This window comes from Homo sapiens, chromosome X, assembly GCF_000001405.40.
Source record: "Homo sapiens chromosome X, GRCh38.p14 Primary Assembly".
NCBI classification, from domain to species: Eukaryota; Metazoa; Chordata; class Mammalia; order Primates; family Hominidae; genus Homo; species Homo sapiens.
The window spans coordinates 3816368-3843970 of NC_000023.11; the positions used below are offsets into that span (position 1 = coordinate 3816368).

A 27603-nucleotide genomic window follows, 5' to 3' on the forward strand; every position below is an offset into this window, starting at 1 on the left:
CGGGGGAAGCTCCACCTCCTCGAGCGCCCCCCGGGGAGACCCAGGACGCAGGGGTAGCCCTGCGCGGAGTTCTTGGTGGCTCCAGGTGACGCTGTCATAGGACAAAGGGCCCCGGGTGCCGACCTCCTGTGGAGGGCCCTGCCCCGCTGCGGCTGAGGAGGTCGGCACCCGGGGCCCTTTGTCCTATGACAGCGTCACCTGGAGCCACCAAGAACTGGAAGAGGCAGGAAGGAACACCCCCTAGAGCCTCCAGGGGGAGTCCAGCCCTGCCCACAACTTGATCTCAGATTCCTGGTTTCCAATACTGGAAAGAATAAACTTCTGTTACTTTCAGCCACCCAAATTGTGGTTATTTGCTTCAGCATCCATAGGAATTTAAAAACTAAGAGGTATGAATTTTATGTTGCTGCCAAAAGGCTTTTTCTAGGACAAGTAGATATTTAACCTAGATAGTTGTAGCCTTTTCTCGTCTTCATTGGGATCAGAACTCAGTTGATGGCCTCTGTCCTCCTATCTCAATGTTGATTTTACTTTCTCTTTAATCCTGTTCTAAAGCAGTGACCCTTTTAATATTGCTTAAGTAAATATCAATGTTTTTCTGGTCAGTGTGAGACCAGAAACCTTTTTACTTTGGGTCTGAGAAGGAGAAGTATTTTCCCTCCTTCTCCTCTTTTTAGAGATGGGGTCTCTCCGCTGCCCAGGCTACAGTGCAGTGGCATAATCCTAGCTCACTGCATCCTCAAACTCCTGGGCTCAAGTGATCTTCCGGCCTCAGCTTGCTGAAAAGCTGAAACCACAGGTGTGTGCCACTATGCCCTACATATATATATTTTAACTTATTTGTAGAAATGAGGTTTCACTATGTTGCCCAGGCTCGTCTCAGACCTCTGATCTCAAGTGTTCCTCCTCTTTGGCCTCCCAAAGCACTGGGATTACAGGTGTGAGCCACCATGCTTTGGCATGGTGGGGTATGCAGTAGGAGAGCAGGGGTGGTGGTAGTGTCTCCATATGTACTCTCACTAAAACTGGTGTGGGCAGATACTGGATGCCTACTTATTTAGGGGCATCTAAATTCCTGTGCTAAATTAGAAAACAGAGGCAGCTCTTGAAAGGAGTGATGGCGTGAAGGAGAGATGCTTGGACCAACCAGCACACAGCCCTTATAAATAATTGATACCCTTGGTTTTAATGCCACGTCCTCTTCAACAGTTGTTGGTTGAAATGACACGTGATTCCAGGTAAGCTTTTCCAGATAAATTGCCCTGGAACTTCAGACTTTGTCAGGTGAATCGATGTGGAATTTCAGAATGGGCTGGAATGTCTGAGATGGGCATGTCCGATATTCAGCTCAGTGTGGGGAAACTGGTGGCCAGGGCTGGTTGCAAGCTGAGTTGTAGGGGTGACAGTTCACCTGAGAAACAAAAAAACATGCAAGTCCTGGTTCATGAGGAGTGATTTCACAAATAGTGACCATGGAAGTCAATGTTGAAAAACAAATAGATTCAGGGCATAAGGGTGCAGGTTTGTTACGTGGATATATTGCCTAGCGGTGGGGATTGGCCTTCTAACCCCCAAACAGTGAACATAATACCAGATAGGTAATTTTTCCACCCTCATCCCCTCCCACCTTCCCCCTTTTTAAGGTGTCCTGTGTCTGTTAATGTCATTCTATAGGTCCATGTGTACCCATTTTTTTTAACTCCCACTTATAAGCGAGGACATGTGGTATTTGATTTTCTGTTTGAGTTATTTCACTTAGGATATTGACCCGCAGCTCCATTTATGTTGCTGCAAAAGATATAGTTTCATTCTTTTTTATAGATGCATAGTATTCCTTGGTGTGTGTATACCACATTTTCTTCATCCAATGAACATTCAGGTTCATTCCATGATTTTGCTATTGTGAATTGTGCTGTAATAAAAATATAAGTGTAGGTGTCTATTCTGATAATTTCTTTCCTTTGGGTAGATAACCATTACTGGAGTTGCTGGGTCAAAGGGTAGATCTATTTTTAGTTCTCTGAGAAATCTACATACTGTTTTCTATAGAGATTGTACAATTTTACATTCTCACCAACAGCGTATAAGCAAGCGTTCCCTTCTTTGCATTCTCGCCAAGAGGTCAACGTTTTTCTACAAGACAAAAATGTAGATTGGTAGATGATAGATAGATCAATGACAGGTAGATGGAATACATAGATGATAGATAATAATAGGTAGGTAGATGATAAATGGAATAGATAGATGGAATAAATGGATAGATAGAATATAGTAATAAAATGCATCTACCTGAAAATAGAGAAGAAAAAGATTGTGGGACTTTCCACTCTATAACCCTGGAGCAAAGAAAATAGCATTAATGAAAAAGCAAAGAATGGGAAAGTAAAATTTTTTAGTCAGAACCACCCTTCCAGCAGAAAAGAATAGTGCAAGCAAAATATTAAGCATTTCATATGCATTTGTGTAGGCTATGGGAACTATTACAAAAAGGTGGATGTCGCATGTTTCAATGCTTTTTTTTTTTCTTTTTTTTGAGACAGAGTCTCACTCTGTCGCCCAGGCTGGAGTGCAGTGAAGTGATCTTGGCTCACTGCAACCTCCGCTTTCTGGGTTCAATCTCCCAAATAGCTGGGATTATAGTCTCCTGCCGCCATGCCCGGCTAATTTTTTTTTTCTTTTTAATAGAGATGGGGTTTCACCATGTTGTCCAGGCTGGTCTTGAACTCCTAACCTCAAGTGATCACCTGCCTCAACCTCCCAAAGTGCAGAGATTATAGGCGTGAGCCACCGTGCCCGGACTCAATACATTTTTAATATACACAGAGCTTTGCCACATTTTGGAGGGTTGCCTAGTGTTGGAATTTCTGGATTTTTATTTTTTATATTTGTGTTTCTCCCTTTTAGTTTGATGTAATGCAACTCAGTAGATTTTCTTATTGAAATAAAATCTCAGGCTCTCTCCATTGCATAGGCTGAAGCAGGTATGACGTAGGACACTGGCTGGATTCAGACCCTTGAGGGAGGCCGGGCGCGGTGGCTCATGCCTGTAATCCCAGCACTTTAGGAGGCTGAGGCAGGCAGATCACTTGAGGTCAGGAGTTTGAGACCAGCCTGGCCAACATGGTGAAACCCCGTCTCTACCAAAAAAACGAAAAACAAAAATTAACCGACCGTGGTGGTGCGTGCCTGTAGTCCCAGCTACTTGGAAGGCTGAGGTAGGAGAATTGCTTGAATCCAATAGGTGGTGGTTGCAGTGAGCCAAAATTGTACCAGCGCACTCCAGCCTGGGCGACAGAGTGAGACTGTCTCAAAAAACAAAAACAAAACAAAAGCAGACCCTTGAAGGGTGAGCATTTTGCCGTGTTTCATTTGGCAGCTGGCTGTTCTGCTTCCTCCTAACATCTCAAAGGACACTGGATGGCCTGAGCTCCCGGGTACCCTGGGCTGCCCAGTTAGCATTCCCTGGGTGGTGAGAAAAATGCAAATTGTCTCTGCCCTGGAGCTTAAAGACTTCTCTCTGTAGGACCTCAGGAGGTCTTTTATCAAACTCTGTATTTGCAAGGCGGGAGGATTGCTTGAGCCCAGAAGTTCGAGACTAGCCTGGGCAACCTAGTGGGACTCTGTTTCTACAAAAATCAGTCTGGCAGGGTGGCACACACCTGTAGTCCCAGCTACTAGGGAGGCTGAGGAGGTAGGATCACTTGAGTCCAGGAGTTTGAGGTTGCTGTGAGCTGTGATTGCACCAGATTGCTACATGGGGATGAGAGGAAATAAGAGGGTGAACAGATCTCCTGCTACCGCACATGCCACTTTTGAATTCCCAGCTGGTGTTTGAAGGCTGTGCAAGGTGTTGGATTGCAGGATGATGGAGACCCAGATCATTGTGAATCCATGACTGTGTGGCCGTTTGCATCGACTCAGCCTTACTGCAGATACTAACCTTCATTACCCTCTCCAGCTATGCATTGGTTTTCTGCATACCACTTGGAATTTATGTTGGCTCTGAGTCATCCGACTCTCACATGAGAAAGAACCAAATAATGATGTGTTCTTTTAAAAGAATGTGTCTGCATATGGCTTCTTATCTGCCAAGTGCTGCACCTTAGGCATTTATATTGAGAGTTTCAAGATCGTGCCACTGCACTCCAGCCTGGGTGACAGAGTGATACCTTGTCCCAAAAAAACAAAAACAAAAACAAGATAGGAGCAGACATTTCCAAACAGCTAAAATGTCCTCAAAGGGAGTTATTGATGTATTAGTCTGTTCTCAATGCTGCTAATAAACACATACCTAATACTGGTAATTTATAAAGGAAAGAGGTTTAATGGATCCACAGTTCCACATGGCTGGGGAGGCCTCACAATCATGGCAGAAGGCAAAAGAGGAGCAAAGTCACGTCTTACATGGTGGTAGGCAGAAGAATATGTGCAGGGGGAACTGCCCTTTATAGAACCATCTTCTGAGACTCATTCACTTATCACAAGAACAGCATGGGAAAAACCCACCCCCATAATTCAGTTAGCTCCCACCAGTTCCCTTCCACCACATGTGAGGATTATTACAATTCAAGGTGAGATCTGGGTGGAGACACAGAGCCAAACCATATCAATTGATAATTAGCAGATTAAAGGGAAAAAGGCAAATCTGTTGACTAAGACAGCCTTCACATTTCCCTCAGCTTGACTGTTACACAGTTTTCCTCCCGACCTCCTTGTCTATTTTTTAGTTTTAATTTTTTTGATACATAATTGATGCACATATGTTGGGGGTACATGTGATTACTAAATACACTCACAATTTGTAAAGATCACATCATTGTGATCAAGATATTCATCACCCTACATATTTGCCTTTTCGTTAAGCTAGAAACATTTAAATTCTTATCTTTAGCTATTTTGAAATGTACAATAGATTACTGTAAACTACAGTCACCCTGCTGATTTATTGAACAGTAGGTCTTATTTCTTTTATCAAACTCTGTATTTGCAAGGCGGGAGGATTGCTTGAGCCCAGGAGTTTGAGACCAGCCTGGGCAATCTACTGAGACCCTGTCTCTACAAAAAATACAAAAATCGGCCTGGCATGGTGGCACGCACCTGTAGTCCCAGCTACTGGGGAGGCTGAGGTGGTAGGATCACTTGAGCTCAGGAGTTCCAGGTTACTATGAGCTACGATCGTATCACTGTACTCCAGTCTGGGCAACAGAGCAGAATTCTGTCTCCAAAAAAACAAAAACCCCTACTTATTTGTACCCATTAATCAAACTATTTTTATCTCCCTTCCCAGCCTCTGGTAGCTACCAATCTACTCTCTATCTTCATGAGATCCAGGTTTTAAGCTCCCACATGTGAGTGAGAACATGCAGTATTTTTCTTCTGTGCCTGGCTTATTTCACTTAACATAATGACCTCCAGTTCCATCCATCAGGCCTCCTTTTTTCACGGAGGATTTATTTTAGGAAACTTGCAATTGTGAGTTCTTTCTCTACCTCTTTGAGAGGCAAATCTTCTCCCAAATTTTCTTCTAGCCTCCTCCTAGTTTTGCAACCCAGGAATGCCTTTCTCAAGACTTCAGAGCCATCCCTTTAAAATGCAATTATTGAAGGAGATGATACATCTGTGTCTCAGTTTTTGTAGAAGGGCAGATTCCCAGTTTTGAAAAATTCCAATGAGCCAACGCAGATAGCTTTACGGCATTTCCTAACCTCTTCCTGATGTCTCCAGTTCCTTCTCAGCATCTCACCCCGGCACTTAAAAACTCCCCAGCCTTTTGTTTCAATGAAGTTAAGCTCCTCTCTTCCGTATTGCAGTAGTCCTGACTGAGTCCTTCCTTGAAGGTTTAACTTGTCTGGTGCAATTTTTTCTTTGACAATGTCCAGATCAAATGATCCCATAAAAACATCGAGTGTGATTTTAGCCTGAGAAGGGGGAGGGTGAGAAGATAGATTGGGAGGCAGCTGTGTAGGCAGGGGACTTGGCCACTCCCTAAACCTCTCCCAGTCTCACCTGTAAATGGAGTGCATAGGCAGCAGTGCTTCTCCCCCAAGGCTGGGGCGATGGAATCAGTTAGACTATTGAGGGCATCTGGAAGGGCATCTGTGTCAGGGTTAGTCCTCAGGGTATGGTGGCCAATGGGTTTCTTTTGGTTGACTGTTGACAATGCGTTTGTTGAATGGCAGCCTGCACTAGGTGACGCTGAAGCCACAGAAGACACTGCAGTGGGAAAACCAGCATGAGCCGCTGCCCCCAAGGAACCTCGAAGCCCAGGCAGAGGACCAGCCATCCCAGCCCGCAGGTAAAGTGTGTCACCTGTCAGGTGGGCTTGGGGTGAGTGGGTGGGGGAAGTGTGTGTGCAAAGGGGGTGTGAGTGTGTATGTGTGTGAGCACATGAGTGATGGCTAGTGTGACTGCATGTCAGGGAGTGTGAACAAGCGTGCGAGGGTTGTGTGCAAGTGCGTATGCATATGAGAATATGTGTCTGTGGATGAGTGCATTTGAAAGTCTGTGTGTGTGTGGTCATGAGGGTAAGTTAGTGACTGAATGCGCAGGATGTGAGTGTGCATGGAACACTCAGTGTGTGTGTGGCAAGTGTGTAGGCGTGTGAGGACAGGCAGAAGTGTGTCAGTGTTGTGATGGGAGTGTGAATGAGTGTGCAAAAAGGTGAGTGAATGCATGGAAGTGTGTGTCAACTATGAAGGCATGTAGTGTGTCAGTGTGTGCAGTGCAAGCATGTGTGGGAATGAGTGCTTGTTGGTGTGTCCATATCCAACGGGTATGTGTGAAAGCATGTAAAAGTGTGTGTAGTGTGATGGTGTGTGGATGTATCAGTGTGTATAAATGAGAGCATGTAAATGTGTATGTATGAGTGTTGAGTGTGCATATGTGAGGCTGTGCGTGTGAGTGTAACCATGAGGGTGTGAACGTGCTTAAGTGTATGTGCGTGTGACAGTGCAAGTGTAGGTGTGTGATGCATGTGTGGGTTTGCCAGTGTATGAGTGTACATGGTGTGGATCTGAATGTGCACAGTGTAAAGGGCATGAGTGCAAGTGTGTGTGAGTGTATGTGAATGAGTGGTAGTGTGCATGCATGTGTGAGTGCACGCTCAGAAGCATGGATGGGTGCAAGCCTCCCCTACTAACTCCTCCTCCTTCCTGAGATCAAAAAAGTATGTGTTTTCTGTGTTTCAAAAATGTTTTAAAATTATGTACTGTATTTAATAGCTCTTATGACTACAGTGTTTTTCTCTCTGCTTAAAGTGCAGCAGGGGCTGGGCGCAGTGGCTCACACCTGTAATCCCAGCACTTTGGGAGGCCAAGGCAAGTGGATCAGTTGAGATCAGGAGTTCAAGACCAGCCTGGACAACATGGTGAAACCCCATCTCTACTAAAAATACAAAAATTAGCCGGGCATGGTAGCGGGTGCCTGTGATCCCAGCTACTGGGGAGGCTGAGGTGGGAGAATCGCTTGAACTCGGGAGGCCGAGGTTGCAGTGAACCGAGATTGCACCACTGCACTCCAGCCTGGGCGACAGAGCGAGACTCTATGCAAAAAACCCCAAAAAATCCAATGTAGCTAAAAGCAGTTTGATGATAACAGTGACACTGAAATGAGAATTGTGTCAGAAAAACCACAAACAATAATGAAATGGCTCCTATATAACCCATCCCCAAAAACCCACGTAAAGAAGAAAACAGGGCTGGGTGTAGTGGTTCATGCCTATAATTCCAGCACTTTGGGAGGCCCAGAAGGGAGGATTGCTTGAGCCTGGGAAATCGAGGCCACAGTGAGCTGTATTTGCACCACTGTACTTCAGCCTGAGAGTCAGAGTGAAACCTTGTCTCAAAAACAGAAAGACGAAAAGGGTACCTGAGGTATTAACTCTGATCATCAGTGAGTGGAAAGATTCTGGTATTCTGGTGCTTTCCATTTTCTTTTAGCTTATCTTCATTTTTGAGTTTTCTGGAAGAGCATTTATTGCTTTTTTTCTTTTTGAGACGGAGTCTCCCTCTGTCGCCCAGGCTGGAGTGCAGTGGTATGATCTTGGCTCACTGCAACCTCCACTTCCTGGGTTCAAGCGATTTTCCTGCCTCAGCCTCCTGAGTAGCTGGGACTACAGGTACATGCCACCACGCCCGGCTAATTTTTTGTATTTTTTTTAGTAGAGACAGGGTTTCACCTTGTTAGCCAGGAGGATGGTCTTGATCTCCTGACCTTGTGATCCACCTGCCTTGGCCTCCCAAAGTGCTGCGATTACAGGCGTGAGCCACCGCGCCCGGTCGCATTTATTGCTTTAAGAAAAAAAAATTTCACTTGATGGGAAGAAGCTAAAATGAGGCTGACTAGGAAAATATCATTACTAAAAACATTCTCCTTCATTCATGGACTTTTTTTTTGAGACAGAGTCTCGTTCTGTCGCATATGCTGGAGTGCAGTGGTACAATCTCAGCTCACTGCAACCTTCGCCTCCCAGGTTCAAATGAATTCTTGTGTCTCAGCCTCCTGAATAACTGGAATTAGAGGCATGTACCACCATGCCCGGCTAATTTTTGTATTAGGGTTTTGTCATGTTGGCCAGGCTGGTCTTGAACCCCTGACCTCAAGTGATACATCTGCCTCAGCCTCCCAGAGTGCTGGGATTACAAGTGTAAGCCACTGCGCCTGGCCCTTGTTTTGGCTAACTCTGAGGGAAACTCTTTCTGCCATGGGAGATTGTACCTTACCATTGTTTATTTCCAGGGTCTCCTGAGAACACAGACCAGAATTACTGAGGTAATCTTGGCACATTTTCTTAACCATTTTATGTGACTTTCAAATTCCTTATATGTAGCTGGGAAAAAAGGCTTTGCTAGATGATCTTTTTCAACCTTTGTGAAGATAAAGATTAAGAAAAAAGTTTAAACCTGAGGCAAGGAAAATACAGAAGAAAACCTAAACAAAGTTTCGGTTCTCAGCCCCTGAGCAGCCACTCAGTGGTGGGCGTTTCCTTCACTCCCCAGTGAGCACCTACTGTGTGTTCCGTATGGCGCAGGGCAGGGAGGAGCAGGCCAAGAAACAAACAAGCCTTGGGGTCGGGGCCACAGAGGGCACGGTGAGCTCTCAGGACAGGGCGGGAAGGGAAGGCAGAAAGGTCCTGGGCACAGGCTGGGCTGTCAGCTCCAGAGGGGTGCACTGACCCTGCATCCATGGTAAGTGTGGGGCACAGGCAGTCTGGGCTGCAGCCTCAGAGTGGAGCAGAGCCCGGGGTGTAAGAGGCCGGCTGGGGCAAGTGGGCACCAGGAGAGCCCAGGCTGGCCATTATATGTGGCTGCATTTCCATTTCCAAAAATGTATGATTTTTTCAGTTAACGGAGAAAAAGCACTGACAAAATTCAACACGCTTTCATGATTAAAAACATTCAGCAAACTAAGAATAGAGAAAACTACCTCAACATAATAAAATTCATATATGAAAAAGCCACAACACACTCAATGGTGAAAACTGAAAGCTTTTCCTCTAAAATTAGGAACAAGACAAGGATGTCTGCATTCATTACTTCTATGCAACACAGTGCTAGAAGTTCTAACCGGCACACTTAGGCAAGAAAAGGAAATAAAAGGCATCAAAATTGAAAAGAAAGAAGTAAAATTATCTCTATTTGCAGATAGGATCTTATAAGTAGAAATGCCTAAAGAGCGTGTGTGCACACACACACGTTAGAACTAATAAATGAGGCCAGGCATGGTGGCTTGTGCCTATAATCCCAGCACTTTGGGAGTCAGACGTGTGCAGATCACTTGAGGTCAGGAGTTCGAGACCAGCCTCACCAACATGGCAAAACCTGGCAAAACCCCATCTCTACAAAAAAATACAAAAATTAGCCAGGCATGGTGGTGGGCACCTGTGGTCCCAGCTACTTGGGAGGCTGAGGCACGAGAATCACTTGAACCCTGGAGGCAGAGGTTGCAGTGAGCCAAGATTGTGCCACTGCACTCCAGCCTGGGCGACAGAGCAAGAGAGCGAGACTGTGTCTGTTTTTTCTTTTTTAAAAAAGAATTAAAAAAAAAAAAACTAATAAATGAAATCAGCAATGTAGTAGCATACAAGGTAAATACACAGGCCAGGTGCGGTGGCTCACACCTGTAATTCCAGCACTTTGGGAGGCCAAGGTGAATGGATCACTTGAGGTCAAGAGTTCAAGACCAGCCTGGCCAACGTGGTGAAACCCCGTTTCTGCTAAAAATATAAAAAATTACTGGTGGTACGTGACTGTAGTCCCAGCTACTCGGGAGGTTGAGGCAGGAGAATCTCTTGAACCTGGGAGGTGGAGGCTGTAGTGAACTCAGACTGCGCCACTGTACTCCAGCCTGGGCCACAGAGTGAGACTGAAAAAAAAAAAAAAAGTCAATACACAAAAATCAGCTGCATTTCTAAATACTAACAAACAATGAACAGTCTGAAAAGGAACTAAAGAAAATGAAAATTCCACTTAAAATCTAGCAATCCTACTTCTGGATATATACCCCAAAAAATTGAAAGGAGGGTCTCAAGGAGGTAATTGAACACCCGTGTTCACAGCAGCATTATTCATAATAGCTAAAAGGTGGAAGCAACCCAAGTGTCCATTGACAGATGAATGAATGAGCAAAATGTGGTAGGCACAGTGAAATTTTACTCCGCCTTAAAGGACATTCAGACACTTTCTACAACATGAACCTTGAGAATACTGTGCTAGGTGAAATAAGCCAGTCACAGAAAGACAAATATTCTGTGATTCCACTTCTGTGAAGAAAGCAGCGTAGTCAAAATCATAGAGACAGAAAGTAGAATAGTGGCTGCCAGGGTTGGGGAAAAAGGGAATGGAGAGTTGGTGTTTATGGGGACAGTTTTAGTCCCCACCCCCGCCCCGCTTACCCCAACTTGAAGCTCAGAGTTTTAGTTGTACAAGATGAAAAGAGTTCTGGAGATGTGTGGGGGTGATGGCCGTACAACATCGTGAATGTATTTAGTGCCCCTGAACCACACACCTACATATGGCTAAGATGGTAAATGTTATGCTATGTATATTTTACTACAATAAAATATGTTGGAAAAAAAATTTTGATGTGATAATGCAAACTTACAGCGACTCACACCTGCTTTATCGGGAGTTTCAGAAGGGGCAGGAGGGAGAGGACACGCTGAGCAGCCAGAGGCTATTGACACACCAGAAGCATCCCCAGGGACTGCCTTTCTCAACATCACCCTCTGTAATGGCAGCGTCAGCCAAGAGCGCACTGCCATTGGTTTTACTGACCAAACCTAAAGAAACGGCTGCGTTCCCATCAGATTTGCTCACTAAATCATGCCGACACACAGACATGCATCTTCCAGCCTGTTCGGCAGCAGTGCAGACAACATGAGGGGTCTCAGATCCTCCACAAGAATGATTCTGGTTCTGCCTGAGCCTTCGCCTGAGCCCCCATCAGACATTGTAAAGGTCAACTTAAGGATGATGGGCAGGCAGAGGCAGGAATAAGGACTGATATGGTTGAATCTCTCATTGCTCTAGCACCATCCGCTTGGTGCTGCTCTCATGATAGCTGGTTGTTTAAAAGTGTGTGGCACCTGCCGGGCGCGGTGGCTCACGCCTGTCATCCCAGCACTTTGGAAGGCTGAGGTGGGTGGATCATGAGGTCAGGAGATCGAGACCATCCTGGCTAACACGATGAAACCCCGTCTCTACTAAAAATAGAAAAAATTGCCAGGCGTGGTGGCGGGCGCCTGTAGTCCCAGCTACTCGGGAGGCTGAGGCAGGAGAATGGCGTGAAACCAGGAGGCGGAGCTTGCAGTGAGCCGAGATCGCGCCACTGTACTCCAGCCTGGGCGACAGAGCGAGACTCCGTCTCCAAAAAAGAAAAGGAAAAAAAAAGTGTGCAGCACCTACCCCGGCCCCTTGTCCCTGCTGTGGCCACGTGACATGCCTGCTCCCACTCTGCCTTCACCGTGACTGATTCTGAAGCATCCCCAGAAGCTGAGCAGATGCCAGCACCATGCTTCCCGTACAGCCTGTGGAACTGTGAGCCAACTAAACCTCTTTTCTTTATAAAATACCTGGTCTCAAGTATTTCTTTATAACAGTGTGAGAATGGCCGAAAACGACACCCAGATGCAAACATTACCTGCAGGCCACCGCGTGCTGACTCTCTCACCAAGCAGGAGCGGGCCCCTCCCTCACGCGGAGCCGCTGGCACGGACAGCCCCGGGAAGGTCAGGCTGAGCGTCCTTTCCTCTGTGCACCCCCGGAGGGTGCTCCCATTGGCTTTCTCAGATAGCACCATCTCAGGGTCCAGCTGGCCATGGCCTGGATTAAGTTTAAAATGCTGGGCCAGTCCCCACTTCCCTATATATGACTTTTTACAAGTCTGACACTTGAAGCTTTTGGGCCTCAGGGAGCAGCTTGATAAGTCAAAGAGCGCCTGCCTCTCCCTCTGATCTTCTTCCACACTGACTTCTGAATCATCATCAGAATCTGGCAGATGACCGTCGGCCAAATCATCCCTTTTTATGAACTCAGCTTTAGCTTTATACTTGGCAGGTCGAGATACCTGTCTCAACGTGTCTTCACTTTTAACGATGGTTTTAGTTTCTCAGTATGTTTTGTATGCAAGTTGGAAATAAATAAACGTCCTGAACTGGATGAAACATGTTACAGTCGGCAAACTGGAGGCCGACGAAGGGGTCAACATGGTGCCCTGTCCATTTGGAGCCTTGGGGGCTGGGACTCTCTTTGCAGGGACCACCTAGAGGGCTGGCAGTGGTCTCTGTACAAACCCCTGAGCAGGAGGCTGATGTAGGAAACATGACTGTGGCTCGGTTCTCACGAGGGGCTGTACCCTGAGCAGCTGGGGGCTGGTGACGTGGAGTCCCACCAGGCGGGAATTCCCCCGGGGCGGCTGGCTCTGTCTTGCAGATTGGGGCTGGACTGTGGCCAGTAGGGACGTTGGCCATTCCTGACCTTTTGTTTCTCCAGACGTTACCTTGACACAAATGGCTTCTAGTTGCTTTCCTACAGAAAGACAAGAAAGGGAAAAGAAGCATTGTGCTTATCAACATGTCTGCAATTTTGCTGTCATAGTAAATCCACTACTGACATTTTTTCTAAATTACGTCTTACATATACAATTTATGTAACGTGTTTGTATTAACTGTTTTTCAGACCTTTCTGACCAGAAACCACAGTGATACAAGCCGGGCGCAGTGGCTCACACCTGTAATCCCAGCACTTCGGGAGGCCAAGGTGGGCAGATCACTTGAGGTCAGGAGTTCAAGACCAGCCAGGCCAACATGGTGAAACCCCTTCTCTACTAAGGATACAAAAATTAGCAGGGTGTAGTGGTGCACACCTGTAATCCCAGTTACTTTGGAGGCTGAGGCATGAGAATCGCTTGAACCTGGGAGGACGAGGTTGCAGTGAGCCAAGATCGCGCCACTGCACTCCAGCCTGGATGACAGAGCGAGACTCCATCTCAAAAAACAAACAAAATGGCCGGGCACGGTGGCTCACGCCTGTAATCCCAGCACTGTGGGAGGCTGAATCACTTGAGGCCAGGAGTTCCAGACCAGCTTGGTCAACATGGTGAAACCCCATCTATACTAAAAATACAAAAGTTAGCCGGGTGTGGTGGCACATTCCTGTACTCCCAGCTACTTGGGAGGCTGAGGCAGGAGAATTGTTTGAGCCTGGGAGGCGGAGAGGCTGCAGTGAGCCGAGATCCTGCCACTGCACTCCAGCCTGGGTAACAGAGCTAGACTCAGTCTCAAAAACAAACAAAAAACAAAAACAGACCACAGTGACACATTTTACATTATGACCTAGTATGCACGTATATAAATATTTGCATACATAAATGAAAAGCTGATGGAACTACTTAGCATTCCTATGTAAATGCCTGCTGATTGTATCTATTCTTCATTTCTACATCACCTTTTTTTTTTTTTTTTTTTTTGGAGACGGTCTCACTCTGTTGGCCAGGCTGGAGTGCAGTGGCGCGATCTTAGCTCACGGCAACCTCCGCCTCCCAGGTTCGAGTGATTCTCCTGCTTCTGCCTCCTGTATAGCTGGGATTACAGGCACACGCCACCATGCCTGGCTAATTTTTGTATTTTCTGTAGAGACGGGGTTTCACCATGTTGGACAGGCTGGTGTCAAACTCCTGAACTCAAGTGACCCGCCCGCCTCGACCTCCCAAAGTGCTGGGATTACAGGTGTGAGCTACCGCACTGACCCTAATCTACATCACTTTAAAAAAAATACTAGTCATAATCCACTAAGTTGATTTCATGATGAATTAAGAGATAATAAGAGCCTTCTCAACAGTTTCACCCATGTGTTTTTGCTTGGAGTTTTTAGTACTCTAAAATCAGATGTAATTCATAATGTGGGACCATGTTTTTAAAAAAGTTTCTAATGAAATTCTAGAAGCCACAAAAAAGCCATAAAGGACAATGTTACCCAGGATCCTCCTGCCCAACCTGCATGCCCGTTTCTTCACCCTGTCCTGAATGTGCTGTTCAGCATTCTTATGCTTTTTAAATATTTACATGGCATATGCAGATATTTCTAAAAATATACAGTTCAGTTCTGAAATGCTTTAAAACTTTATAGAAATGATATCATCTCCTGCAACTTGATAGGGCTTTTTTCAGGTTTCTTTACTCCATTTTGCTTTGTGAATTTTACCCTCATTGACATGTGTAGCTCTCAGGGGTTGATTTTCTCTGCAGTATGAGTTTACCAATCTCCTATTGATGGATGGGTACTTTCCAACCTTCTGCTCTAAGGTCTGCTCTGAATCTCCACGGATGTATGTGTGTACATGTGTGAGTTTCTCCAGGGGCATGTATCTAGGAGTAGGGCTGAATATCTTTTTCTTTTTTTTTTTTTGAGAGAAGGTCTTGCTCTGTTGTCCAGGCTGGAGTGCAATGGCATGAACTCAGCTCACTGCAACCTGCGCTTCCCAGGTACAAGTGATTCTCCTGCCTCAGCCTCCCGGGTAGCTGGGATTACAGACACGTGCTACTACGCCTGGTTAATTTTTGTATTTTTAGTAGAGATAGGGTTTCACCATGTTGTCCAGGCTGGTCTCAAACTCCTGACCTCAAGTGATCTGCCCCACTCAGCCTCTCGAAGTGCTGGAATTACAGGCGTGAGCCACCGTGCCCGGCCGGGCTGAATATCCTCAACAACTTTTTACAAATATATCTAACAAAATTTCAAATACATGTGCTTTTTGACCCAGTAATTCTACTTCCTGGATTCCAAAATTAAAAAAACTTAGATGGCCATAAAGATGTTATGTTCTATGAGGTTCAAGGCAGCACTGTCTGTAATAGCAAAACACCTACCAAAGGGGAGAGCTACCTTCGACAACATCCCACAAATATTTATTGAGTACTGACCATGTGCATGAGACACTGCTACAGGTGTCAGAGAAACAGTTCTCATACAGCTTAGGGGAGAAGGTCAGGAAGCAAAAGAAACAAGGCTCCTGCCCTCACAGAGCAGAAATAATGAGCATTTTCCTCCAGGGAGAAAAAGAGGCAAACCTCGTCATCCAGAGCATGATTTCACAACCAACATTTCAGAACATAATCCTTTGACATGGGTGGCTGGAGGATGCCCAGCAGCATCTCTGCCTCTACCCACTAGATGCTAGTAGTGATCCCAAGTCCTGACAAGATATTGCCAAGTGCCCCTTGTGGGGCAAAACTGTCCTCGGTTGAGAACCACTTATTTGGGACCACCAACTGGCCCTCTTTGGACTCAACCTTCTGGTGTGACCCTCAAACAGTAGAAAGTCAATAAAAATGTCAAACAAGACAGAATAAAGACCCTCACTGAGATCAGGCTGGAGTGTGTCTCTCGTCTGGCTCTTGTTATACACTAGTACAAATAACAGAGGTCAAGTGTACCGAGGTGGCACCACAACCCTGGGAGTCCCCATTCCTGGGCTACGTGCAAATCAAATGACAACTAGATTGGCTGTGCATATCCTTCAAGAACGATGTCTGTTTCATTTTACTACCAATCACATAGAATCTCTCTCTAAGGGCCAAACACAAATCACACCTGCAGTAGCAGTGCTTTGGGATGCTGAGGTGGGAGGATTGCTTGAGGCCAGGAGTTCAGGGCCAGCCTGGGCAACAGAGCAAGACCCTGTCCCTACAAAACGTTAAAAAAAAACACAAAAACCCAAAACAAAGAGTCTCACTGTTGCCTAGGCTGGACTGCAGTGGTGCATTCTTGGCTCCCTGAAACCTCTGCCTCCCGAGTTCAAGCGATTTTCCTGACTTGGCCTCGCTAGTAGCTAGGATTGCAGGCATGCGCCACCGTGACTGGCTAATTTTTGTATTTTTAGTAGAGACGGGGTTTCATCACATTGGCCAGACTGGCCTCAAACTCCTGATCTCAGGTGATCCACCCGCCGCCGCCTCCCAAAGTGCTGGGATTCCAGGGGTGAGCCACCGAGCCCCGCCTACAAAACATTTTAAAATTAGGCTTGATGGTACATGCCTGTAGCCCCAGATACTCGGGAGGCTGAGGGGGAAGGATCGTTTGAGTCTGGGAGTTTGAGGCTGTAGTGAGCCGTGATCAGTCCAGCCTGGGTGAGAATGCAACACCTTGTCTCAACAAAACCCCAAAACAACAACAAAATACATATACACACAGACACACAACCTAAACCCTATTGTTTTAGGATAACCACAGCAGCAAAGCCGGCCTAATAATGTATTCATCCTCTATCCTGACTGGCTTACCCCGTGGGTATTACGCCTCATGCTTTCTTGTGTGTTTTTATTTTGTTTGGTGAACATTTACTAAATATTTCTGGATGGAATACATACACACTAGCCAACTCCTAGCCTCACCCTTGAGATGGTGGGCAGTTTCCCTGCCATGCCTCAGTCCCCGCAGACCTGCTGAATCGATCTCCTGGGTCGGAGACCCGATCTGCCCTTTCAAAAGCTCCGCTGACGATTTCGAAGGCAGACAAGTTTCCCTAAGGAATGCAGACAGGTGAGGCAGACGGGAAAAATGTCATCATGGTACAACAGGTGCAATAAAGAGGCAGAACAGACCAGAAGCAGTGATCTCTGAGGGGCGTTTTGAAGGCTGGGAATTTTTGCCAGGTAGGGCATTCTGAGTACAAAGAAAAATGTGTACATGCATGGATGCATGAAAAGGGGTTGGCATGTTGGATGGAACTGGACATTTCTGGGGGGTGGGAAGAGGGAAGATGCGGAGAGACAGGGGCCTCCATCTGACCCAAGTGTGTCCACTGGTCTGTGCTTCTGATCCACACCATCCCCCACAGCGAACCACTGGGCAGTCTGCTGTGGTTGTTGAAATGCACCCCGCCACCTGCTCCAGAACCTGCCTCTCCTCTTCTGCATTTTCAACTCAGACTCACCCTTTCAAATCTAGTTCAGATACCACTTCTTCAACAAAGCTGCTTGTGATTTCCTCGGCCAGAAACAATCTCCCTTTCTCTAACTACATTTAGTTCTTCATCACTAGCTTTCAGGCCTTGATTAGCAGGTATCTGGGTCATGTTTTATCTCCTGTTAGTTCATCAGCTACTGAGGGGCAAAGTACACATCCGGTTTGACTTCGTGGCTTCCACGACACAGCTGGGGCTGAAAAAGTATTAGCAGAATGTGCTACAAAGGTACATTATTGGAGGTAGAATTTATACGTCTCCATCAGATTAGCTACAGAATAAGTCCCATCATGCTGCCTGATCTTGACTAAGTTTGCTTTTACTTTATGAAAAGTATGTCATTTTTTACTCCATTCCAAACCCAAAAAGCTGTGGCCACATACAGCAGGGTGTGCTGGGGAGAACAAGGGCTCTGGAGAGCAGCCACACCTGAGGGATCTTGGACAAAGCCACTCAACCTCCCTGCAAAATGCTGGTACAAAAACACTACTGCGAGCTAAGCAACCCAGAACACTGCCCGGCACAGAGCAGAGGCTCAGCAGATGGCTGTCCCGGGATGGCGTCTTGCAGCCTTCGGACCCAGACCACAGTCCAAAAAGGTCGAGTTGCCCAAGGTCACACCTCTAGATAGTGTGGCATTTGGGCAGAATCATACTTGCCTTCCTAAACCTTAGCAAGACAACTCTCCACTCTTGATGATGAACTGGATACAACAACCCCAGGCAGCTAAAATCACGAGTGAAGTCGAAAAAACTCAGGAGTGAAGATCGCTGATTCTATTCTCTAACGCATCTCTTCTAGTGGAAAAAGCCCTCTTCTTTTGGCAATTTTGGGTTAAGACTAATTTTATTTACAGCGCCAGCAATGAAATGAGATGGAATTTTACAGACGCCGTGTAGGACCCCTGGAAGGACAATGAGAGTACCCACCCCAAAAGCATAGTATCTGTATGCAAAAACAGTGACAGAGACAGAGAGAGAGAGAGAAAGAAAATGCTGAGAAGCAGCAATGAAGAGAAGAAAATGCTGGGCCGTGGCACTTGCTGTGCCTGAGACCTGAAAAGCTCAGTTGGTTCCTTTTAATTCATTCAGGTCTCAGGGGCAGCGTCTGGCCTACGGGCCCACCCACTCTAAAGCGGCCCCCTGTCCCTCCCAGAACCTGCCTGATGTTCGTTCTTCGAGTGTGTTGAAGGCCGCACCTCCTGCACTTAGGTGGGAGTGCGGGCAACCCCGTCTCTGAGTGCCCCACAGAGGCTGAACGAGTGGTCAAAGGCGTGTCAGACGAGCTAGGCAGCACAGGGGAGCCCCGGGCAGGGCTGTGGAGGCAGAGAGGGCACGACGGCGTCCCAGGCAGAGGGCCCAGCGTGAGCATCGGCTCCTCAAGTGAGGCTCCTGGGGTGAAAACGCCAGGGTGGTGGCAGGTGGGGGCCGAACGCCGTCCCTAAGGGGCTCAGCTTCGGGACACCCTGAGTCTTGACTGGGGCCGGATACTGGCCACCCCGGCCAAGCAGCTAACCCCGCCGCGGGGCCTCGGCCCCCTCCGGGCCTCAGTTTCCCCACGTCGCTCCCGGAGCCTCACCTGGGGCGGCAGCAGGCGTGGCGGGCACGGGGGCTCGGCGCCAGGGTCCCGCTGGAGGGCGGCCTGATGGGCCGCGGCGGCAGCAGCTGCGCCTTCGTCACCCGCTTCAGGACCTGCCGCAGCTGCTCGGGGCCCAGCGGGGCCACACGTGCAACGCTGCCCTGGCCCGGAGAAGCCTGGCCGCCGCATCCGCCGCGGCGGCTGAAGCGGGGACTCCAACCTGGGTCGCTGGGCGACGACGTGCCTCACCTGGGAAAGCGGCGGGCTACGAGTGCCCCGCAGGCCAAGACACCTCGGAAGGCGACGCTGCCCGGCCGGGACAGCCGCCGCGGCCCCTAGGGCCGATCAGCACAGCGGACCCACCTTATTTTCTCATTGCCTGTCACGGATGTGTTTAACACTCAGATGTCACCTCCTCCGGGAGCTGTCCCCGATCTCCCAGGCGGAGGTCTTTGAGGTTCCAAAGCCCCTGACCCAAAAGTTATCACATTCTTTGAGGTTCCAAAGCCCCTGGCCCACAAGTTATCACGTTATCCACGTGTTCTGACGTCATCGTGCACCCCAATCAGCGGAGGATCCTGCCTGGATACGCGGAGTCCTAGGTCCACCAGCAAACGTTTAGGTTTATAAATCTGAGAGGGGACCCAAAGTTTGAATTTTTAACAAGAGCGCTTCCCAAACCCCAAACTGTTCCCATGTCACCCTACCGTCTCTCCCCTCACCCACCCAGGCTGCGTGTACCTTGAAGGGAGAGACGATATGTTACTCATTCGGTGCCCATTACAGGCCCTGCCCAGAACGCACGCTCAAGGCGTGAAAGATGGATGGATGCATAGAAACCAATAAATGAACGGGTGAACAAATCCACGAACCCACCCTCTCCACATGTCCGTCCCATCCATCCAGCCCCAGTGCCCCGTCTTCCTCAGCCCGATCGCCTCTCTTACAGGGTCGAGGCTCTGTGCACCCTCCCCACCGAGTCTTGTAGCTGCAGGTGTGTACACACGTCCCAGTCCCAGTCCCAGTCCCAGTCCCTCTCCCCAGGGAGCGTAGGAGGTCCACTGGCCAACAAACACTTATTAAGCGCCTGGTGGGTGAGTCGCCATTCCCTCCCTGTGGGGTACCACGGGTCTAGCTGGCGAGAAGGAGGAAACCAGCATTTGCAGTACAGTATGATGAGCACCATGAAGCCAGGAAAGGTAAGGCTGGGGGGGGGGGGGGGCGCCAGGCTGGTGTCAGAGAAGGTTCTGGAACATCACCATCATCCTCATCAATACTTCGCATTCACGATGCTCCCTGCTATTTTTTAATGGTGAATTTCATATGATGGGTATCTTACCACATTTTTTTTTGTTTGTTTGTTTTTAGACAGGGTCTCACTCTGTTGCCCAGGCTGGAGTGCAGTGGCGCCATCTCAGCTCGCTACAACCTCGACTTCCCGGGCTCAGGTGATCCTTCCACCTCAGCCTCTGGAGTAGCTCGGACTACAGGCATGCGCTACCATGCCCAGCTAATTTTCGTTTCTTTTTTTTTTTTTTTTTTTTAATAGAGAGAGGATCTCACCATGTTGCCCGGGCTGGTCTCCAACTCCTGGGCTCAGATGATCCACTTGCCTAGGCCTCCCAAAGTGCTGGAATTACAGGCGTGAACCACTGCGCCTGGCCCAAGTCAATCTTTCCTAGTTCCTTCCCAAGAAGGGATTTATGACAACTGAGTTCTTTTGAGATCTTATGGGAAGCTCTGCTTTTCAGCAGACAAGAAATTTCAGGAATTCAAATGCCTTCTGCTCAAAATAATTTTCACGCCACCGTGGCACATTCTAAACCCCTTCAAGTTCAGGAAACTTGAGGGCAGCAGCCTCCACCGACTCCTCCGTGCTCTGTCCCTGCATCTAACCCGGCACGACTACTGCAAGATGTGACATCCAACTTGTTGCGTACAGGTTTCTATTGCAGGTGTCAGCCGACCCAGGCTCTCCTAACGTTGCTTATAGTAGCAGCAGCGCCACCAGCCGGCGTTTATTGAGAACTTTCACTACACCCTGGGCACTTACCAAGGTTTTAAGCCAGTAGTCTGTAGATTTTGAGCAGCTACTGATTTAGGTCAGAGTTAGTAGATGTTTCCACTGGAGAGTTTTCAAAAGCAGGTGGAGCCCCTGCTGGATCGTGACAGAAAATGGCACTGACCCTACACAACTGGCTTCGTTCAACGGAGCACACCTGACCACCCCAGAAACTTGAACCACCAGCGAGAAACTCATCCACTTGCTCTGGCTGCAAAATGCAGAACCAAGAGGAAGAAATGTGAAGCCTAAGATGTCTCTGAAAAGAAACGGGGGGTGGGGGGGAAGAGCAAGAGAAGGTTTCCAGAGGCTTCCACAACCAGAACGCCTCTCTAAAAACATGGCAGGCATCTACTGGCTGGTCACTTTCTCCACGTGGCTTGGGATTTGTGTCTCACTTACCGCTTTGCTCCCCGCCTAGAACGGTGCTGGGCATGCAGTAGCCCTACACACCATCTGTGGAATGCATTCATTGCAGACCTGGATTTTCAACCCTAAGACTTCCCCGCAAGGCGGCCAAGGGAACACGAGGCGGTGACATCTGGGAGCACCCGTCTTCACTGGGTGATTCCTCCAGGGGAGCCACAGCCTCAGGAAGCGCGGGGGCGGCAGGGGTGGGGGCTGAGGGCCGGAGATGTGGATCGCTTTGGATATCCTGAGTGGCCTGCAGGTGGCGGAGGGTGCAGGGACTCGGGTGCGGAGCCACCGCCCCAGCGCATGCCTGGTACCTCCCGCTCTCCCCAGCAGGCTGCCCTCGACAACCTCTGGGCGGGGAGACCAAGAGATCCTGCAGTTCGCTCCTACCCGCACGCCGCTCACAGTACCCGAAAGGCGCATTTTTCACAAACTGTTGTAGAAAGAGTTCATGGCGGGGTGGCGGCGGGAAAAAAAAAAAAAAAGCTAACGCCGTGGCCGGTGCGGGAGTCGAGCCCGCGACCTTGGTGTTATCAGCACCACGCTCTTACCAACTGAGCTAACCGGCCGCCTGACGGCACAGTGCCCCTGGAGCGTATAAAAGGGCTCCACGTTCGCGCCCGTCCACGAGCGATTCCTCGCCAAGCCCGCGCGCCTCTGGCTGCCTTCCGCTTTGCCCCAGCCGCGGGGACTCCGGGGAGGAGCCACCGCCCCAGCGCTGGCCGGGTTTCTCCCGCTCCTCCCTGCCAGGCTGTCCTCGACAACCTCTGGGCCGAGTCCAAGAGATCCCGCAAGTCGCTCCTGCCCGCATGGGGCTTACAGAACCTGAAAGGCGCATTTTGAAAAAGAGTTGCAGAAACAGTTCATGGGGAGAAAACAAAGAAACAAACCAACAAAAAACTGGGACTAGGGCCGGTGCGGGGATCAAGCCTGCGACCATGGCGGTATCAGCACCACGCGCTCACCAACTGAGATAACCGACCGCCCGACCATCTAGTGCTGCCCGAGCGTCTGAAAGGGCTCCGTGTTCGCGCCGGCCCGCGACTGATTTTCTTGCAGAGCCCGCGCCACTGGCTGCCTCCCCGCTTGGCCCCAGCTGCGACTTCTGACCGCCTCACTGTCATCCCCATTGGGTGGATGCAGAAACTGAGACCTAGGAGACTTCAAGGAGAAGGGAGACGGCTTCCTACAGGGAACCGCAGGCTTCCACAGGGAAAATGCAAATTGCACATGGGAGGCTTGGCTCTGCAGTGAGGTTTTCAAACATTCCCATTCAATGCTGGTTTTAACTCTGAGAATCCTGAGGCCTGGCAACTTCGTGTATCAAGAGCCTTTCAGCATGGTTAAATCTAGCTCAGAAAACCCAGAAAACCAAAGGCCAAAAGAACCACCGAATTCCCTATTGCCCAAAAAATAACGGCTGCAGGGGTCTCGACTTCCTTCTTGTCCATTTTTATTTCCTTTCACTGTACACATGTATTTCTATATATATACACGGAATCCTTGCGCCAGGAGTGGTGGCTCTTGCCTTTAATCCCAGCACTCCGGGATGAATAAATAAATGAATGGAATGGAAAGCCTTGCTTGAAAAAGTGTATTCTGTCTTCCTTTTTGCATTTAATAGTCTGTCATTAAGTATATCCCGAAATAATTGCAAATGTCATTTTCAATGATTCATTCAAAAAAAAGAAAAGAAAAAAAATGAGACGGGGAAAGACAGAAATAGAGAAACAGAAAATGATATTGTTTGGCCATGTCCCCACTGAAATCTCAACTTGAATTTTATCTCCCAGAATTCCCTCGTGGTGTGAGAGGGACCCAGGGGAAGTACCTGAATCATGGTGGCCGGTCTTTCCTGTGCTATTCTGGTGATAGTGAATAAGTCTCATGAGATCTAATGGGTTTATCAGGGTTTCTGCTTTTGCTTCCTCCTCATTTTCTCTTGCTGCCACCATGGAAGAAGTGCCTTTCGCCCTCCGCCATAATTACGAGACTTCCTCAGCCTGTGGAACTGTCAGTCAAATTAAAGCTCCTTTTCTTCCCAGTCTTGGGTATGTCTGTATCAGTGGCATAAAAACAGACTAATATAGTAAATTGGTACCGGGAGTGGGGTATTGCTGAAAAGATACCCAACAATGTCACAGCGACTTTGGAATTGGGTAATAGGCAGAGGTTGGAACAGTTTGGAGGGCTTAGAATAAGGCAGGAAAATGTGGGAATGTTTGCAACTTCCTAGAGACTTGTTGAATGGCTTTAGCCAAAACGCTGATAGCGATTATGACAATAAGGTCCAGGCTGAGGTGGTCTCAGATAGACATGAGCAACTTCTTGGGAACTGGAGCAAAGGTGACTCTTATTATGTTTTAGCAAAGAGACTGGTGGCATTTTGCCTCTGCCCGAGAGATTTGTGGAACTTTGAACTTGAGAGAGATGACTTAGAATATCTAGCGGAAGAAATTTCTAAGCAGCAAATCATTCAAAATGTGACTTGGGTGCTGTTGAAAGCATTCTGTTTTAAAAGGGATACAGAGCATAAAAGTTTGAAAATCTGCAGCCTGATGATCCAGTAGAAAAGAAAAATCCATTTTTGGGGGGAGAAATTCAAGCCAGCTGCAGAAATTTGCATAAGTAGGAAGGAGTCTAATGTCTCCAGGCCATGTCACAGACCTTCACAGCAGCCCCTCCCATCACAGGCCCAGGAGAAAAAAGTGGTTTTGTGGGCTGGGCCCAGGGTCTCTGTGCTGTGTGCAGCCTAGGGACTTGGTACCCTGGGTTCCAGCTGCTCCATCTGTGACTGAAAGGAGCCAACGTAGAGCTCAGGCTGTGGCTTCAGAGGATGGAAGCCCCAAGCCTGGGCAGCTTCCATGTGGTGTTGAGCCTGCAGATGCACAGAAGTCAAGAATTGAGGTTTGAGCACCTCCGCCTAGATTTCAGAAGATGTATGGAAATGCCTGGATGTCCAGGCAAAAGTCTGTGGCAGGGGTGAGGCCCTCATGGAGAACCTCTGCTAGGGCAGTGCAGAAGGGAAATGTGGGGTTGGAGCCCCCACACAGAGTCCCTACTGGGGCACTGCCTAGTAGAGCTGTGAGAAGAGAGCTACTGTCGTCCAAACCCCAGAAAGGTAGATCCACCAACAGCATGCACCATAGGCCTGGAAACACAACAGACACTCAACGTCAGCCTGTGAAAGCAGCAGGGAGGGATGTTGTACCCTGCAAAGCCACAGGCACAGAGCTGCCCAAGACCATAGGAATCCACCTCTTGCACCTGATGTGAGACCTGTAGTCAAAGGAGATCATTTTGGAGCTTTAAGATCTGACTGCCCCACTGGATTTTGGACTTGCACGGGCCCTATAACCCCTTTGTTTTGGCCTATTTCTCCCATTTGGAATGGCTGTATTTACCCAATACCTGTATCCCCATTGTATCTAAGAAGTAACTAGCTTGCTTTTGATTTTACAGGCTCATAGGTGGAAGGGACTTGCCTTGTCTGACTGTGGACATTTGGGTTAATGCTGAAATGAGTTAAGACTTTGGGGGGACTGTTGGGAAGGTACAGTTAGTTTTGAAATGTGAGGACATGAGATTTGGAGGGGCCGGGGTGGAATTATACGGTTTGACTGTGTCCCCACTGAAATGTCAACTTGAATTGTATCTCCCAGAATACCCACGTGTTGTGGGAGGGACTCAGGGGGAGGTAACTGCAATCATAGGGGCGGGTCTTTCCCGTGCTATTCTCATGATAGTGAATAAGTCTCACGAGATCTGATGGGTTTTCAGGGGTTTCTGCTGTTGCTTCCTCCTCATTCTCTCTTGCTGCCGTCATGTAAGAAGTACCTTTTGCCCTCTGCCATGATTATGGGACTTACCCAGCCATGTGGAACTGTAAGTCAAATTAAACCTCCTGGCCAGGCATGGTGGCTTACACCTGTAATCTCAACACTTTGGGAGGGTGAGGTGGGTGGATCACCTGAGGTCAGGAGTTCCAGACCAGCCTGGCCAACATGGTGAAGCCCCGTCTCTACTAACAGTACAAAAATTAGCCAGGAGTTGGGGCACGCACCTGTAATCCCAGCTACTCAGGAGGCTGAGGCAGGAGAATTACTTCAACCCGGGAGGCAGAGGTTGCAGTGAGCCTAGATCGCGCCACTGCACTTCAGCCTGGGCGACAGGAGCAAGACTCCGTCTCAGAAAAAAAAGAAATTCAACCTCCTTTTCTTCTAAGTCTAGGGTATGTCTTTATCAGCAGCGTAAAAACGACTAATACAGAGAGTAATGCATAAAGACACAGAAAGAGGGAGAGAGACAAAAAGAGAAAGAGAGAGAGAGAGAGAGAGAATGTAATAGGAGAAAGGGAGGGACAGGAGAAAAAGAGAGGGCCCTCTTCCCACTATCCTTCCAAAATCAGGGTTTCCTCATGACCCCTTCCTCAAGGCCTAGGTGCCAAAAAGGTCACTGAAGGAAGCACAGTCCCCTCTTCCTCAGCAGGCCTGAAGGCTCCTGGGCTATGGCTGCTGGTCTTCCTAAGCCAGAAGCTATAACCCTGAGCCATTGGGCTTCCCAGCCTAGCTTCCTCCTGTCCAAAATGAGAGGACAAACAGGAGTTAGAGAGCCTGAGAAGACCTGTCCCAGCAACACACCCCGCTAAGAAGGCACAGGCTGACCACTGACAACTGTTTAAATCCAGCGCCCACGTTCGGCTGGGATATTCTGACCCACTCAGGGCTGCCCCATAAACCAGCGCGTGGTCCGGATCCAAGCGCACCGAGAACTCGAAACCTCTCTGTCAAGCTGCCCATTGGGAGTTAAGTTCAAAGAGGACAAAGGAAACGAGATAAAGCGTCCAATACAAGAATTACCCATTTCAGACGCACAAGACGAAGAGCACAGGCGGTGTCAGGACATGTTAGGATCCGTCCCCAACTCCGCCGTCTTCATCCCCACAAAGCCACGGAACACCTGTACCCCGGAGCCCAGCTGCTCCTGCAGCCCCTGGAGAAATCTGTACATTCCCCGCCGAGGACCCTGCCGCTGGGCACACTGGGAGGCTGGCCTGAGGGACCCCGCGCCCGTGTCCCTGGGGCCGCTGCCTGGGAGAGCGCACGAGTTACCCCAGGCGAGGTGATCCACAGGAAGTTTGGTGACGTCGGATGGCCCAGGCCCCAGAGTGCTGTGTGTGCTGGGGGTGGAGGGTGGTCCCCGACAGGAGCCGTCGGCGTTCCAGGGAAGGCACCCGGTCGGTCGGGGGACTCGCCGGGGCTGGGGGGTGCGCTCTACTTCTCCGAGCGCCCCCCAGGGAGACCCAGGGCGCAGGGGCAGCCCCGCGCTGGGATCCCGAGCCGCAGCGGCGGGGCAGGGCCCTCCCCAGGAGGCGGGCACCCGGGGCCCTTTGTCCTACGACAGCGTCCCGGCCGCGCCGCGCGCCCCTGTGGGCCGAGTCCCCGCGCGCACTCACTCACCCACGGTGACCAGCGTGTCGAAGTCTTGAAGGCGGTTGGCAGGCGGCTCCGGCGACCGCGCCTCGGAGCTGGGGCAGAGCTCGGGCGCCCAGTCCGGGGTCTCCTCTGCCACGGCCGCCTGGGCCAGCCCGGGCGCCTTCATGGGGACGCACTCAGGTCCGGGGCGCCGGGCCGGGCCGGAGCGCTCGGGGAGCCGGGCTTCCGCGGATGCAGCCTCGGAGGGCGGCGCGGCGGCATCAACGGAGGCTCCCCATGCGCGCCATGCGGCTTGTGGAGGCCATCCTGCCCACCCGGCCCGGAGCCCGCAAGACGCCAATGCGCCTTCCGGTGCGCGCGCGGCCGGGCGCGGCTGACGGAGCGGCGGGGACAATGGCTGGCCGTCGCTCACGGCACAAGCAGCAACGGCCCCAGGTAGCAGCAGCCGCCGGCCTCGTGGGGCGGGCACGGAGCGCCGGGAGGCGGCGGGGAAGGCGGGGGCCGCGGCCCGGGCTTGTAGAGCCAGGCGGGGGCCCTGCGCATTCCCAGTCTCGCGCCCGCGGCCTCCTGCAGCTCGGTAGCAGCGTGCGCGTTGAAGAGGCGGGCGGAAGCCGCCTGGGCGAGGCCTAGGGGCTGGGGGCGTCGCCTTCGCAC

The 27603-nt window shown here is 49.5% G+C and overlaps 1 long non-coding RNA gene, 1 other non-coding gene and 1 pseudogene across 4 annotated transcripts, besides 4 other annotated features; all 3 read right to left on the reverse strand.

Moving 5' to 3' along the window:
• Window positions 2-141: a silencer, noted in NCBI's record as "silent region_20647". NCBI's record gives its function as "represses an Ori minimal core promoter by ATAC-STARR-seq in GM12878 lymphoblastoid cells {active_cell/tissue: GM12878}" and the evidence as "EXISTENCE:reporter gene assay evidence [ECO:0000049][PMID:35858748]".
• Window positions 1168-27527, reverse strand: LOC389906 (zinc finger protein 839 pseudogene; annotated as a pseudogene). Its single transcript, NR_034031.1, has 5 exons — window positions 26974-27527; window positions 12139-13025; window positions 2290-2336; window positions 2075-2133; window positions 1168-1411 (listed from the first exon to the last, which is right to left on the reverse strand). The product of NR_034031.1 is annotated as a zinc finger protein 839 pseudogene (transcript).
• Window positions 4305-10304, reverse strand: LOC124900487 (uncharacterized). Of its 2 annotated transcripts, XR_007068383.1 has the most exons (3): window positions 8721-10109; window positions 6007-6213; window positions 4305-5918 (listed from the first exon to the last, which is right to left on the reverse strand). It is a non-coding gene; the product is annotated as an uncharacterized LOC124900487 (long non-coding RNA). The 2 variants fall into 2 exon arrangements; XR_007068384.1 differs by having other exon boundaries at window positions 4305-6213; window positions 8721-10304.
• Window positions 13191-14030: an enhancer, noted in NCBI's record as "H3K4me1 hESC enhancer chrX:3747599-3748438 (GRCh37/hg19 assembly coordinates)". NCBI's record gives its function as "activates a minimal SCP1, AML or CMV promoter by ChIP-STARR-seq in primed H9 embryonic stem cells {active_cell/tissue: H9 hESC(primed)}" and the evidence as "EXISTENCE:reporter gene assay evidence [ECO:0000049][PMID:30033119]".
• Window positions 22010-22083, reverse strand: TRI-GAT1-1 (tRNA-Ile (anticodon GAT) 1-1). Its single transcript has one exon. It is a non-coding gene; the product is annotated as a tRNA-Ile (tRNA).
• Window positions 26885-27124: a silencer, noted in NCBI's record as "silent region_20648". NCBI's record gives its function as "represses an Ori minimal core promoter by ATAC-STARR-seq in GM12878 lymphoblastoid cells {active_cell/tissue: GM12878}" and the evidence as "EXISTENCE:reporter gene assay evidence [ECO:0000049][PMID:35858748]".
• Window positions 27087-27587: an enhancer, noted in NCBI's record as "H3K27ac hESC enhancer chrX:3761495-3761995 (GRCh37/hg19 assembly coordinates)". NCBI's record gives its function as "activates a minimal SCP1, AML or CMV promoter by ChIP-STARR-seq in primed H9 embryonic stem cells {active_cell/tissue: H9 hESC(primed)}" and the evidence as "EXISTENCE:reporter gene assay evidence [ECO:0000049][PMID:30033119]".